Raw genomic sequence first — 16,406 nt, 5'->3', positions numbered from 1 at the left:
GAACCTCAAAACAGCAGCTCATTCATAGCCATTGACTTCTTGTGCATCCCTTGTTTCCCTGGCTAAGGCTTTCCAAGACTGAAGGCAACACTGTCTTGAGGCACAAGAATCCAATGTTTCTTGGTAGGAGCTGGAATGCAAACTGCACTACTATCAGACAAGCCACTAGTCCATGTTTTATTTCTAAAACACTGCTCTTCCAAAAGCGTTCAGGCACTTTAATGGCTGCACTTGAACATGCTTAATTGCTGGCATGTGTATTCAAATCAAGGCTACAGAAACTCAAGTGCCTAGGCCAAGAAATTCAGAAGCTAGAATGTGAGCCTCAGGTCAGTGTTCACTGGTGCTGTGCTTGGCTGAAGGAGACAGCACCCACGCCTCGGACCAGTGTGGTGTGGCAATACCAACCACCCTGGACATGTGTCTCAGGGCAGGTGGCGCCAACCACTCTTCTGTTCTAAGCAAAGACAGAACATTGTAGAACATGCGCCATAGTTGAATTTCAAGTGTTCATAACTCGTCTGAGTATCTGACATTTGGAGATTCCAAGAGGCCTGATTATAAATGACATCAATAAACAAATCTACAGCAATGACCATCATTTACCATTCTCAGCAAATATCATTCTCAAGATTGTTATAAAGTTATTAATCTAGTTTCAGGCATCTCTTATTTCTCTCCAATTTTGGTGAATCCGAGTTAGAAACCCCTGAAAACACTGGACTAGATGAATCAGCTGTGACAGCAAGCACCACAGAGATGAAAGAGTGCAGGGATTCGTGTCAGGAAGAAGAGCTGGTCAAGTCCAGTAGCGAGGGCCTCGTCTTGACTGTGTCCTCAGTCAGCAAAGCCATACTCTACCTCGGGGGTGGGCAGCTGGAGGTCAGGAGAATGGCTGTCCCTGATAGGGGTGCCAGCTTTACTGTTTACCAACCAGGGTTTGTCATAACAGCGAGAGAACTGAAGTGAAGTCTGTGAAACGGAAATCCAAAGGGAAGGACAGGAACAATTGAAAAAGGAACAAAAAGGGTGCACATTGGGAACAGAAAAAAATAAATAGAAGATACTAAATTTTAAAGAAACAGAAAACAAAATAAAATGCATGTTGGTCCATCAGGATGAGAAGGACCAGGCAGGCACTAACATCATTCACACATAACCCATCATAACATCAAACTTAGCTGTTAGCTCCACTGCACAGCCAGTGCCTGGATTTTCTGTCCTTTTTCCTTATTTTTTTTTTTTTTAATTTTTATTTTTTAGAGACAGAGTCTCACTCTGTTGCCCAGGCTGGAGTGCAGTGGTGCAGTTCATAGCTTACTGCAGCCTTGTATTCCTGGGCTCAAGCAATCCTCTTGCCTCAGCTTCCTGAGTAGCTGGGACTATAGGTGCTCACCACCATGCTAGGCTAAATTTAAAAATTAGAGATGATAAATTTAGAAATTTGTAGAGATGGTCTTGCTATGTTGCCCACGCTGGTCTTCAACTTCTGGTCTCAAGGGATCCTCCCACCACAGCTTCCCAAAGGCTGGGATTACAGGCATGAGCCACTGTGTCCAGCCTGGATTTTCAAAAGTAGTAACACTGGATGGGCTCAAACTTAAACTGAGAACATGAGGAAATAAACATTTCTGACATAACCAGGCTGAGTGCATATTTTAATAAATGTCCTTTGGAGTCATCTTAAAGGCCATATATCTGTGTACTGCTAGGAACAGGGCAGTCTTGATCTGTGTGTTTTCACGTTTTATTTCTAAAATAGAAAACATGTTTTCATTTTTATTTCTTCTCCTCACTGGAGTCTTTCAGAGGCTACCGTGAACAATGAACATCTGTGAGGGTGGGATTGGGGAAGAAGGGCATAATGGAGATCAGTACATACCTTGGTTCCACTGGCTGGGGTGGCTGGAGAAGATGGCATGGATGTACAGCTGTGGTTACTCTGACTAGCACTGGAGCTGGAACGAGTAGGGGAAGCTGCCCGGGAAGATGGTTTGGACCTTCGACCCCGTGAGCGGAAGGGGGTCATTCCCTGGGATGCTCCCTCTGGTAGGATGAATTTCTCTCTAAGTTCAATGTTAGTTCTACCTCGTGCTAAAAAGGAAATAAACACACACACAATGTCAGTTCTTCTAAAAAATATATTTTTGACGGTTATACAGCGGCTTGACCCCATGATAACAGTTATATAAGTTATATGGGTTTAGTACCATCTGTGGGTTCTTCAAAAATAGAGATAAATTCATGACACATCAGCCTTGTCAAGGTTCCTACCCATAGCAGATATGTTAACTGTATAATAAGCAAGTCTCTGTGTATAAAGGACCAGCCCACTCTGCTGCTAGCGTCTTGCTTTGCCACTGTCCCTGGGGTAAGCACACTGACTGCTTGAGGTAAAGCAGATGCAACAGTTCGTAAACCTCTGAAGTTAAATCAAAACCCCTCTTTTCTCTCTCTTAGTACATGTGTACTTTTTGCTTAATTTTTGCAGGATATGTGGTAATGAAAGAGTAGAGAAAAACATTACTGAAATCGATATTGTCTAGACTCTTCTATTTGAATTCAGTCAGTAACAATCCTAAAGAAAGGAGTCCAGGAACTCAGGACAGTAAAAAGATCAGGAGAGAATCATTAAGAAGTAAACATGTCGGTGGGGAGAGAGAAAGAGATCAAGACCATGCACAAAACTTGCTAGTGAGAAACTGTTAAGTGAAAAACTGAAAGCAATAAAAGGCCAAAGGAGTAACTGCAAGTAGGAGGAACATCAAGATGCAAAGAACGTGGAGTCGGCACGGGAAGCCAGTTAGCGCTGTCTTATGGCTTTCTGGGGCTGCACACCCAGAACTTAAAATGTGGATTCCATAGGAAGATCTCACGCACAGCCAACAAAAATGTTAAATGCGAAAGATGCTACTAATTTAAAAGACATAATCCCTCTGGAATATGTTCTTAGATTATTTCTCACTGTAAGATGTAATCCTGCAGAAACCCTCTACCTCCTCATCCACCCTAAACTGTGCACTCTTTATGAAGTACTAGACACAGCTAAACAAATGGGACTGCTGGAGAAAAGGGAATCATTATGAACAAAATATTTGTCATTCTTTTCTATAACAGATGTTTAACTGGTCAGAAACCATAAATCTAGAAGGTGGCAGGAAATTTTGTCCACCTTCTCATCTGTGCTACCCCATATGTCCCTTAAGGAATTTGAGGAATTTTGGTAGAATCAGTGTTTTAAATCAGGTTGCATAAGTGTCCAAGCAGCATGGTTCCAAATTCCTAAATCAAATCCAAATTCTTCTCAATATATTATATGTTGACAGAACATATCAAAGTATCAGGTTAAAAGCACTCACTTGGATACCAAAACCTCTGAGTTATAGTCCAAGCTCTGCTGCCAACTGTGATTTTTTTCCTGCTCTGGCCTCAGTTTCCTCAGGCTCACCAGAGGCGATCAGGTCAACCGATCTCTAAGAGCCCTGTTGTCTGGATGATCTATGACTTAATGGTCCCTGAAATGCTAAGCTGTTTCCTTCCATGATCCAGTGTTTCCTTCCTCCTCAAGCCTCAACAATACATGACCCTTGGCCGGGCGAAGTGGCTCATGTCTGTAATCCCAGCACTTTGGGAGGCCAAGGCAGGTAGATCACCTGAGGCCAGGAGTTCAAGACCAGCTTGGCCAACATGGCAAAACCCCGTCTCTACTAAAAATAAAAAATTTAGCTGGGCATGTTGGTGCATGCCTGTAGTCCCAGCTACTCAGGAGGCTGAGGCAGGAGAATCACTTGAACCCAGGAGGCGGAGGCTGCAGTGAGCCGAGATCGTGCCACTGCACTCCAGCCTGGGTGACAGAGTGAGACCCCATCTCAAAAAAAAAAAAAAAAAAAAATTCACTTCTGAGCAAACTCTGCCAGGAAAAAAAAAAAAAAGATATAAGAGGAAAACTTTGAAATTGCATTGCAGTTGAAGGAAGTGACATTTTAAATGTTTTAGGAAGGGCATTCTCTAATGCCATAATGGTGATATGTTCCCTATGCACTGCACAGTTCACAGAATGTGCAATAATGCAGCTGACTGTAATTAGCATCCCTATGTTACAGAGACACTTAAGTACTCACAGAGGCTGAGGTCAAGCAAAGTGGCAGTAGAGGTGGACCTAGAACCCACGTCTTCCACTTGAGTTGTCCTCTTTGTCCCCCGACCCCCAAGACATTCCCAGCCTAGCTCTCTCCATCACCACCTACATTCGCTGTCTCCACTCCTCCCCTCAGACCACTCACGCTTCCATCCCCACCACTCATGGAAATTGCTCTGGCAAAGGTCACTGACAACCTCTATCTCAGGAGGGCAATGAAAATTGCTTAATGGCTGGGTGTGGTGTCTCATGCCTGTAATCCCAGCACTTTGGGAGGCTGAGGAGGGCAGACTGCTCGAGCCCAGGTTGGAGACCAGCCTGGACAACATGATGAAACTCCATCTCTGCAAAAAATTAAAAAATTAGCTAGGCATGGTGGCATGTGCCTGCAGATCCAGCTACTCTGGAGGCTGAGGTGGGAGGATTGCTTGAGCCTGGGAAGTCAAGGCTGCAGTGAGCTGTCATCACACCACTGCACTCTAACCTGGGTGAGAAATTAAGACGCTGTCTCAAAAACCAAAACAACAACAAAAGTCGCTTAATCTCACAACCCAAGGGACATCACTATTATAATGGTGTGTCTTACTCCTTTGCACATCTGTGTGTGTGTGTGTGTGTATATATATATATATATACACTAAGTGTATATATGTGTGTGTGTGTATATATATATATATATATATATATATATATATATATATATATATACACTAAGTGTATATATGTGTGTGTATATATATCTAAGAGGGAGAACGGGACTGTGGACAGGCCCAGCAGACATCCATGTTTTAGAAGTGGGCAGGGAGAAGTGGTCAGCAAGGGAGCAGGCGTCCTTGAAGCCGGGGAGGACAGTGTTTCAAAAACACTGACCTGACCCCAGGTGATCCACCCGCCTCAGCCTCCCAAAGTGCTAGGATTACAGGCGTGATCCACCATGCCCAGCTTGTATATATTAAAAAAATCAGAAACTTTACTCCATGCCCTACATGTCTCATGCAAAATTTTAACTAGCTGCTAAGTATTATTTCATCATATGGATGTGAATTTATTTAACCAGTCCAATATTGCATTTTTGTTTAAATATTTTAAACATTGTAGCCAATGCTGTGACAATTTGTAAAACATTTTGCATGTATCCACGATATTTCCTTAGGATAAATTTCTTTCTTTCTTTTTTTTTTTTGAGACAGAGTCTTGTTCTGTTGCCCAGGCTGGAGTGCAGTGGCCCAATCTTGGCTCACTGTAACCTCCGCCTCCTGGGTTCAAGTGATTCTTCTGCCTCAGCCTCCTGGGTAGCTGGGACTGCAGGCGCGTGGCCACCACGCTTGGCTAATTTTTCGTATTTTTAGTAGAGATGGGGTTTCACCATGTTAGCCAGGATGGTCTCCATCTCCTGACCTCGTGATCTGCCCGCCTCGGCCTCCCAAAGTGCTGGGATTACAGGCATGAGCCACCGCGCCCAGCCTAGGATAAATATCTACATGTAGATTTTCTGGGGAGAAAGGATGCATACCTAAGGTAAAAACATCAACTGATGAATGTCAACCATGTGTCAAGGTTGATAGATGCCAGCTGATTCCAAAATGTTTTACTAGCATACACTCTCCAAAATAATATGAGTATATTAAATTTACTTCATTCTGGCCAATTATTGTGCTATGAGCATGAGTACATACAGGAAAAAAGTCTGACAATTTGTTAGGTAAAAACATCTCTCTGCTGTTGTAACTTGCATGTGGAGGGTTACTACACACTGCTCTCTTGTTTTTGAAACCCTGTCCTCCCCTGGCTTCAAGGACGCCTGCTCCCTTGCTGACCACTCCTCCCTGCCCACTTCTAAAACATGGATGTCTGCTGGGTCTGTCCACAGTCCTGTTCTCCCCTTAGACTTGACCTGGTGATGAGCTCATCCACTGAGGCTTCAGTGCTACCATTATAGTCACACCCAACTCCAAATATATTAGTAGGGCAGGCCTTCCTGCTGGATGCCAGAAGTTATATCCAGCAACTGATTAGGCATGACCAGAGTCAGGAACCAAAACCCTGGCACCAACGTAGGTCTCTCCCTCCCAAGGGCAGTTCAGTCTATTGATTCTACCTTCAAATGCCTCTTGAATCCCTGAGCCTGTGCATGCCCCCTTGTACTCAGGTGTTTCATGGAGCACCTCCTCCCCACTGGGTAACTGTAGCAGCCTTCCTACTGGTCTCCTTGTTTCTCATCTCACCACCCACCCAGCCCTCACTCATTTTCTCATTCTGCAGAATGCATTTTTTTTTTTTTTTTTGAGACAGGGTCTCACTTTGTCACCCAGGCTGGAGTGCAGTGACACAAACATGGCTCACTGTAGCCTTGACCTCCCAGGCTCAAGTGATCCCCTGACTTCAGCCTCCCAAGTAGCTGGGACTACAGGCATGTACCACCTTGCCTGGCTAATTTTTGTATTTTGCAGAATGAATTTCTAAATGAAAATCTGTTGTCAACAGCTCAGAATCCTTCCATGGTGTTTCACTGCTTATAGCAGAATTCCCCAAGTGAGGTTTTCTAGGGTTTTCCTACAAAAGGGGTTTGGTCCTCTATATTTCCCTGCTTGGGAGAGCTTTAACTTGGCATCTCCCAAATTCATTTGACCGTGACTTTTCGTTTTTTTGAGGACCACATCTTGGGGACTAGGAAGCACAATGTGGTAAGTACCCAGGACCCAGTGGTCTGGCATCCATCACCTGGCCCCTCCTGCTGACCCGTCCAGAGTCTTATCTGGTCGCTAACCTTGTACATTTGGCTGCAGTCCCATGGGACTACTTGTCCCCTTACTTTTTCAGCTGTTGACACTTCTGTTCATATGAACTTGTGGTTTCTGTACCAAGAACATCCAGATCCCTTTTCCTTCTGGTCAAGTGTTACCTCCTTTAAGATGTGGCTGAAGCAACACCTCCTTTTCCTTTTTCAAAACCTTTTTTCTTGAGATACAGTCTCACTCTGTCGCTGAGGCTGGAGCGCAGTATATACACACATACACTTATACACACACACAAACATTTATTTTTATTTAGTTATTTTTTGAGATGGAGTCTTGTTCTGTTGCCCAGGCTGGAGTGCAGTGGCACAATCTCAGCTCACCACAACCTCCGCTTCCCCGGTTCAAGTGATTCTGCTGCCTCAGTCTCTCGAGTAGCTGGGGTTACATGTGTACACCACCAGGCCGTTAATTTTTGTATTTTTAGTAGAGACAGGGTTTCACCATGTGGGCCAGGCTGGTCTTGAACTCCTGACCTCGGGTGATCCGCCCGGCTCAGCCTCCCAGAGTGCTAGGATTACAGGTGTGAGCCACTGTGCCTGGCCATATATTTATTTATTATTATTTTTTGCGACAGAGTCTCCCTCTATTGCCTAGGACGGAGTGCAGTGGCATAGTCTCGGCTCACTGCAACCTCTGCCTCCTGGGTTCAAGCGATTCTCCTGCCTCAGCCTCTCGAGTAGCTGGGACAACAGGGTCATGCCACCATGCCCGGCTAATTTTTTTATATTTTCAGTAGAAACAGCGTTTCACCATATTGGCCCGGCTGGTCTTGAACTCCTGACCTCATGATCTGCCCGCCTCGGCCTCCCAAAGTGCTGGGATTACAGGCATGAGCTGCTGCACCCGGCCTGTATTTTATTTTAAAACAGAGATGGGGTCTTGCTATGTTGCCCAGGCTGGTCTTAAATTCTTGGCCTGAAGTGATCTTCCCTACTAGGCCTCCCAAAGTGTTGGGATTGTACACGTGAGCCACTATGCCCAGCCCAATTATGTCCTTTTCCTGATACCTTCTCCATCTTCATGGGCAGAGTCATCTCTTCCCCTCTTGCTCTCTCAACCATTCATTTTACCAAATAGAAGGGCATGTATTCACATGTTTGTTCCCTGCACTAGGCTGAGAGCTTCTGCAGGCAGGGACCATCATCTTAATTTACCTTTGGATCCCAGTGCGAGGCTTGCATTTAGGGTTTCAGTAAGTATGTGTGAAACAGAGTAGCCTCTGTTTCTCTGAAATAGCCTCTGAAAACAAGTCTCTCAACAGTTTCAAGGAATGGATCTCGCAACCTTCATGAACTCACTAAGTGCTTCCATTGAGAAGTGCTCATTATTTCACGGGGATGAAGAACAGAAGCACCAAGCTGTGTTAAAGTGAGGAGTCAGTGGCCAGTGGGGCTCACTCTCTCGCTGTGTGACCGGCTCTCTTGCACAGCAGAAACAAATGCAAATCCATGAATTTTCATGACTGAAACCACAAAGTTAAATTTGTGACTGCCAACACCTACTATATATAGAATATTAAAGCAATTTAAAAGAGCAGATAGAATAGCTTTCCATAAGAAAGATACTACAAGAAGGAAGATTATCCCATGTTAACAGCAACCTTTGCATTTTGTGATCTGAGGACCTGTTTAATTCTATCACAGGATCCTATGCTGATCTCCTATATCATGACCCTGTTAGCCCCAGAGGCCACCATGAGGTAGGTACATTGTAACGCCTCATTAAATGACTGCTGAGGGCCCAAAGGGTGTCTCACTTGCTTTCCTAGCTGGGTGCATGCAGGATGCTGGGAAAATACAGTTCATAATTTTCTCAGGGTACGCTTACACGTCATAACGAAACAAATAAACATAATGAGACAGTCTCTGTTTTCATAAGGAAATCTCCAGCCAATGGTCACCTCTTGGGATAGTATTTCACTGGCCAGAGATGCAAAGACGTGTGAACAATTCTCTAACGTCATCCTTCCAGGTTACTACAGCCATGCCAAAGACACGCAACATAGGCATTAAGGCAATCTGAGACTGTAAACAGTGGTTAGCTAGCTCCTGCACGCTTCCATGAGGCCTCATTAAGAAGGTCTAAACTCAAGTGAAAAATAATGGCTTACTTTAATTGGGGCTTTAGAGGCTTGTCTTCTCCCTTTTATTTTCCTTCCTCTCTCTGTAATTTCCATCTTCTTGGTCCTTATGCTCTTAAGCTCACAATAGTAAAATTCCCACATTTCTGGTGCTCTCATCTCGGTCAAGAGACCAATGAATAATTAATTTATCCCAAGCCATGCCTAGCTAATATTAGCTTAATATGCTACAACTCCCATGGATATTTGCATTTTAAAAGAAAATATTTGAAGATGCAAGGCAATGAAACGATTCTTGGTAAGGAACATTTTATATACATATCACTTGGAAGAAATGAAAGCTCTTTCTTCAGAAATAAACTTAAAGCGGCCAATTTTAAGAATTAAAAAAGGTGTTAAGGGGGCAATTAATACTTTTACTTTGATAATAGAAAAGGCTGGGATGGGAGGAGGCGACAACAAACAATAAACAGTTGGAAGCTGTGAAAATTGATTTCTGGAGCAATCCCACAAGTAAAAAGTAAACATTTTTCTCGAACTAGAAGGAAACACCAAATTCTGATTAAGCAAAATTTATGTACTAGCACTTGAATTTAGTAGTAAAGGTACTCTTAATATTTACATTGATTCAAATATTTCCCAAAATTGGGTATTATAGTCCTAAAGTTAAAAAAAAGAGAAGATTCCTAGTACTTGGTTGACTACTGTGATAGGATTTTCCCCCTCACCATTCTTTTCACTGGAGAAAAGATCTACCATTGAACCTACAGAACCAGACATGACGGCAGCCACCTCAAGTTCAGTTCATTGACCACCAAAGAGGCTGTCTTTGCTAAGGGAGTTATGCTGGCCACCTGAAACTGGCTGATGCGGGCATGTTAAAATTCAGTTCTAAGCTATTGTTTAATGGGTATAGAGTTTCAGTTTTACAAGATGAAGAGAGTTCTGTGGATGGACGGTGGTGACGGTAGTATGACACAAATATACTTAGTCCTGTACTTAAAAATGGTTAGGATGGTAAATTTTATCTGTATAACAATCTGAAAAAAAAAATGAGTTCTATTTCAAAATGTGTCTTTTAAATCTTCATAAATGAAATTTCCTAGATGTTCACTTATCTGGGGGAGCTAATATGTCTAATGATCAAAAACATACACAGTACCTTAGGTACAAGTATACCCATTATTTAGGCAGGAGCACTTTTTTTCTCTCTATCCAAAACATCATGATTTCCTGTGCCACGGATACATTCAGAAACTGAAATATCTGATTTTGGCAGTACCAGGAGACTGGCAAATCTAGCTAGTAAAATATTTTCATTTTTTTACACATGACTAAAAGCTACATGCAGTTTGAGATATCTTCTACCTTTTAAAATAGCTGTGTAAAAGGAGGTAAGAAATGATAGTGCACACTGGTGTTAAGAACCTTGTCACACATCTTGTACTGTCCTCAGTATAGCATTCTCTACATTCCAGAGACCCAAGGAAATATGCAACATAAATGAGTACAAAACCTACCATAAGCACTGTTTCCAGAAGCCACATTAATCCTTATAGAACTTCCAATATAGTTTCAAGTAACTTTGTTCTCTTCTCATCCTTCATACCCTTCTAACTTATTATAATCCATCCTAGTCCTTAGGTGTTCATCGCCTAGCACCATTTTTTATTTGATTAAAAATAGCTCATCCTGCCCATCACTGACAGAGTTACGAAATTTAAAACTTCTGGAGAGTTCTCTCCACAGTCAATGGATTGAGATGATTACTGAGTTCCAGGAGAGCACTCCTGGAGAGACACAGGAAAGTCTTACCTTGCTTGTTCCAAGGGATGCTAAAAAAGGTTACTAGCTTTCATAGAAAATAGCTTCTAGATGGCCCTCCCCAATTTCCTTGGGGTTCCAAATTTTAGATACTAAGATAAGGACAAAGCAAGCAGTGTTCTCCTTGGCCAGCAGCATGATGTTATCATAAATAGAGCAGGCAGCAAATAAACAGGCAATCAAGGATTCCAAAATGCCACATGCAATATCTCTTTTATTTAGTCTGATCATACATGACAGGAAAAATAGGACCTTATTCATAGATTTGGAAAGGAATAAAGTTGTTTTACTGAGTTAAAGTTAAAATGGCATATATTGTTTCTCATTAAAGCAATAAAAGACAGCTTTTAAATTCTAAAACTAAATACTTTCAAGTTTTTAAGTGTTTTCAAAATTACTTTTTTGTAGACAAGAGTCTTGCCTTGTTGCCCAGGCTGGAGTGCAGTGGCATGATCATGGCTCACTGTAGCTTTGAACTCCTGGGCTCAAGCAATACTCCCACCTCAGCCTCCAGAGTAGTTAGGACTACACAGGTGTGTACCACCATGCTTAGCTAATTTTTAAATTTTTTTTTGTGGAGATGGGGTTTCACTATGTTGCTAAAGATGGTCTTGAACTTCTGAGCTTCAACAATCCTCCTGCCTTGGGCTCCCAATGTACTGGGATTCCACTGTACCTGGCCCCAATTTTTTTAAAAAAGGAACCTCTAATGAAAATTATTACTGCTGAATTTTTACTCTGGTTTACTGTAGTAAACACAGAATGAGTTAAAATAAGAGGAACTACTTAGGGGCATATCTGAATTCATGTGAAAACTGCTATCTTTAGCTCTGTCCTCACTAAATGCTTCAGAATATGACTATAAATCATTTCCAAAGAAGTTATGTACTGTACAGCAAACATTTCTGCTAGGTTTATAAATAAACCTTAATAATTATGCAGGTGATCCAATAATAAACATACACAAAGGTGTGTCAGCCTCTGAAAGATATAACATGCTGACTAGGGGCACATACTCCAGACCCAGATTGCCCTGAATTTGAATCTCATCTCTGCCATTTACTAGTTGTTTGTCTTTGGGCAAATTATTTACGTTTTCTATGCCTCAATTTCCTATTCTGTAAAACAGAGATAAGAGCATCTACACTTCATATGAGGCATAAATGTGTTACTTGTAAAGTACTTGTAATAGTGTGTGGCACATAAAACTATATAAGTATTTGTTAAATAGAAACTCAAAACAAATTCCATGGACACTGTCTCAACAGTATTTTATGCACCATCAACTTGAGTAGTTAGAAAAGCTATGGTTTGGCCATTTCAAGCATTCATGAATGCAGCAGATACACAGAACCAAGAGATGTTACAGTTTAAGAAGCAAAGCCATTCTCAATGGGCTAGGGTGTGAGGAAGAGGGACAAAGCTTAAAAGCCAACCTATGGGAGACTGACTGGAAATCGAAGAGCTGGAATCAGAGCGCTTTATTTTACTCCCAGGATGGTGAACTAGAATAAAAAATACGTAAACAGAAAGAAACAGACAGGGCAGGAAACGCAGAAACTAGTCAAGAAAGACAAATTGGCAGACAGTGGGGGAGCCTCCTGTGCACCCACATGCAGCTCTGCTAACAGGAAAAAGGCAAGGACATAGCTGAAGAGGATTTAGCAATTGGAACCGGTCATCTCTTCCCTGTTGCAGTCCCCACACACCCCCTAGCTGCAGATGCCACCACTCATGCTCATATTAAATTGACAGTCTCCTTATGCTTCTGGGCTGGTGGGCCAGCCTTTTCACATTTAGCAGAAAGACACCCCATGGTCTTGCTTAGGTGGCCACCTGTCTTAGAAGTGAATGGGCTCACATGTAGGTGTCTTTATCCTTCCTCCTGGTCCAGGGGGCTCACCAGTTCTTCCCTGTATGAGAAGGGCCTAACACTCTCCCTGAGTATCAGCCACAGGAATTACAGGCAAAGGGATCTGAGGCACTAAGAGGGAACCTAAAGGGCTTCACTGGGCTCCTTTCTAGGATAGTGTTAATTTAATACCCCAAACAAACATTCGAGTAACACCAATACACTCTTAATTCTCATTACTGCATTCCTCTAGACCTACCTCCCCAAATAGCATCAACCTCTTCAGCTTTTTCTCCCTGGCCTATGCTGGCACCCCTGAGTTCTAATCTGTGCTAGTGGGATGACACCTGGGCAGCTTAACAAAATAAAAAACAGACAGACCCCACCATCAATGCTTCCTGTAAGCATAAAAGATCACTGCTGGGGGCATACCTAACACGTAATTCATGCTTAGAATGGTTCCTTACCTCGGCAGGGATCATTTTTCACTAAAAATTCATCCAAGGCCATCCATCCTCCACCAACGCGAACCATCACGGTGCTGCGCAGAATACGGACCAGCCGCAACTGCTGAGAATCCCCAAACTGTAGAATCAAAGGAAACTTAATTAATATATATGTCTTAAAGCAGATCTATGTTTTTCTCCCAAAGCAGACTGTATTCAGACAGGAATGACAATTTGATAGCTACAGAAGAATTGTTAACTCTCACAATTTTGCATTTTTATATATTTCACAAAAGGATTTTAAAAATAGAAAAGCAGAAATATCAAGCTAAAGACTGGTGTCTTGATATACTTTTTTCTTTGTGAGACAGAGTTTCACTCTTGTTGCCCAGGCTGGAGTACAACAGTGTGATCTCAGCTTACTGTAACCTCTGCCTCCCAGGTTCAAGCAATTCTCCTGCCTCAGCCTCCCGAGTAGCTGGGTTTATTAGGCGTGTGCCATCACGCCCAGCTAATTTTTGTATTGTTAGTAGAGACGGGGTTTCAACATGTTTGCCAGGCTGTCTTGAACTCCTGACCTCGTGATCCGCCAGTCTTGGCCTCCCAAAGGGCTGGGAATACAGGCATGAGACACTGCGCCGGGCCAATATACTTTCTATTGGGATAAAAATCACTTTTAATGGTCACACCACTGCCTCTGCACCAAAAGGAGAGGTAGGAAAACAGACAAAGTGTTAGGTCACTTTATTTTTTTAAAAGAGATTCTGCTCAATTAAAAATTCATATTCTTGGCATGCTAATTTGTTTTCCTAAAAGAAAGATTGTGGATATCAACTTCTGAATACAGTATGCTTTAAAGCTAAATGGAAAATAGTGAATACTATTTCAAGCCTTAAGGAAACCTTTGCAAAGCATCATTACAAGCTTAGAAGAAAATCTGATTTTCTGCATCAGGTTTTCAGGAATTAACCCGAAGTATTTGCTAATTGCAGTGTCACCAGCAGAAAAGTTTCTTCAGCTGAACAAATGATTAGGTCATATTTATACTAAAATTGAGTTGAAGCAATTAAAAATTGTAGCTCCCATGATGATTATGAACAGTATCCAATAATCATTTTAGATGCTAAAACAAGCATATTTCTGATTATTTATGTTTTCCCTTTTTTCTTGCCCAAACATTCCTACTTCCCAGCTCTAAACATCTGGAGTTTCTCATGGCATAAATTACCCTCTTTCCAAAATGAAGTAAGGAGCAACAAAAGAGAAGTATGCAGAGTTTCCAAAACAAACAAACATCTGGTAGGAGAAATGGAATTCCTAAAATCATTCAATTCAAGGGTTCCTCGGGTATGGAGTTGGTAGGATTTTCTTTTTCTTTTTCTTTTTTTTGAGATGGAGTCTCGTTCTGTCGCCTAGGCTGGAGTGCAGTGGCGCGATCTTGGCTCATTGCAAGCTCCGCCTCCTGGGTTCATGCCATTCTCCTGCCTCAGCCTTCCGAGTAGCTGGGACTACAGGCGCCCGCCACCAGGCCGGCTAATTTTTTGTATTTTTAGTAGAGACGGTGTTTCACCGTGTTAGCCAGGTTAGTCTCGATCTCCTGACCTCGTGATCTGCCCGTCTCGGCCTCCCAAAGTGCTGGGATTACAGGCATAAGCCACCACGCCCGGCCAGGATTTTCAAAGTTATAAAGGACAACTGTAACTTTAAAACAAGGCAGAAAAATTGAAAATGCAAGAAAGGATATCTGAGGTCATATAGCCATCCTCCCTCAAAATTAATATACTTGTGGTAATTCTCCATATTCCTTAGCTGCTCTGACTCAAATGCAGTATTTGCACAGGCAAGGCAATTGAAAAATACTGTATCCTCCCTCCCAGCCCTTTACTTTGAAAATAAAAGAAGTCCCACACCTTTCATCTGATACAATTTAAACATGTTTATACAAAGTGACTGCAGCAAAAGCACTGTGTGGTAGCAGCAGCACTGAACCCAGACTTGAAAGAGAATACACGTCCTGTCCTGGGAAGGAAGCTGCCCCCCAGGCTCTGTGAGAGCCCCCTCTCAGAAGCTGGGCCCCACAAGTGAAAATGAGAAGCCCTGTGGGAGGTTCTGAGAGATATGGAGGATTCCACCCAAGAGCAGTGCTCTTGGACCTGAGTCACTGCAAAGGGTTTTCTCTGGATGGGTGAGAGGCAGGGAGTATGCACCTGTGTGTACCCCAGGGTGAATCAGGAAGGAACCACAAGAGTACTTTATTCTTGGAATACTGTGTACTATAATTTATCACTCCATATATTTCATGTCCCCCCCAACCTTAATTTCACACTAAAGCTCTCTTTGAAAGATTCTAACTTGTTTCTGCTAAGCTATGGGGGAAAGGAGGTTTGACCAAGCCAGCAGCCAGTGTAGCTGGGGAAGTTGAGGCCAGAGTCACAAGTGGTAGGAGGGATTATGGCAGCTCTAAAAATGGAGACCTGTGCACACCTGGTAGGACAAGGTTGTCAGTGAGGCAAAGAACAAATAAGAGTCCTAAGGGTCAGTAACTGTTGTTTCCACCTTTTAAAAGGAAAACCTCTTACAGAGACTTGGGTTCTTGCAGTGGCTGACACTAGCTGTGTGAGAGTAGGCATGTGATCTTTGAGGCCTCAGTTGCCTGTGTATAAAATGAACTTCATAATTCCGTTCTCAACATTAGAAGTCATCTGACCCTCTCCTGATCAATGGAGCAGTAGAAGAGGGTGTCAGGACTCTTCAAAGGCACCCTAGCATTCACACACAGTCATTAGCAAATAGGCATATTGGACACTCTCAAGCAATGATGTTTTTTTAAAGCCAGTTTGTTCTCATCTTTAGTTTTTTTCTCTTATCCCCTGTTCTTCCCACTTGCCTAGAACATTTCTATAGTGACTTGCAAGGCCTGGGATGTTTGAGGGCCTGAAATCAACAACTAGTGTTTATAATTTCATATCAGAGAGACAGATTTTACTCATGCAACTTCCTTCCACATTGGAGGACACAGGACCCCACAGCACTCAAAAAGATCTGAAAGGTTAGAGTTACCAAGTGGAGTCAAAGCATCCAATCTTTTTTGCAAGTCTAATTTGGTCCCATTAAATCTTGGCTGGCTGGCCATAATCAGCATACTTCAGGCCACGGCCAATTACGATCTCCACACTACACTTCTCAGATACCTTGTAATTATAACATACAATATAAGTAACTACAAATATTAAAAAGATATTTAAATAGTACTGAAGTTCTTCAGGAA

The 16,406-nt window shown here is 42.5% G+C and overlaps 1 protein-coding gene across 3 annotated transcripts in view, besides 1 other annotated feature; it reads right to left on the bottom strand.

The window, feature by feature from the left end:
- Window positions 1–16,406, bottom strand: part of MACF1 (microtubule actin crosslinking factor 1) — a 402,972-nt gene that overhangs the window by 5,247 nt on the left and 381,319 nt on the right. For 2 of the 3 annotated variants that reach the window (NM_012090.5, NM_001397473.1), the window contains 2 exons: window positions 13,160–13,277; window positions 1,883–2,094 (listed from right to left, as the gene is read on the bottom strand). In NM_012090.5, coding sequence (NP_036222.3) covers window positions 1,883–2,094; window positions 13,160–13,277 — 330 coding nt within the window. Of the gene's footprint in view, window positions 1–861; window positions 973–1,882; window positions 2,095–12,276; window positions 12,346–13,159; window positions 13,278–16,406 lie in introns of all 3 variants that reach the window. The other variant, NM_001394062.1, reaches the window with a different exon arrangement.
- Window positions 13,638–13,778: a silencer, noted in NCBI's record as "fragment chr1:39933786-39933926 (GRCh37/hg19 assembly coordinates)". NCBI's record gives its function as "represses an EF-1alpha promoter that drives an FKBP-Casp9 reporter gene in an ReSE screen in HepG2 liver carcinoma cells {active_cell/tissue: HepG2}" and the evidence as "EXISTENCE:reporter gene assay evidence [ECO:0000049][PMID:32094911]".

The sequence above is a fragment of the Homo sapiens genome, chromosome 1 (assembly GCF_000001405.40).
Source record: "Homo sapiens chromosome 1, GRCh38.p14 Primary Assembly".
Taxonomy (NCBI): domain Eukaryota; kingdom Metazoa; phylum Chordata; class Mammalia; order Primates; family Hominidae; genus Homo; species Homo sapiens.
The sequence above is the reverse complement of the archived record's forward strand: the minus strand, read 5'-3'. Positions and strand labels throughout refer to the sequence as shown.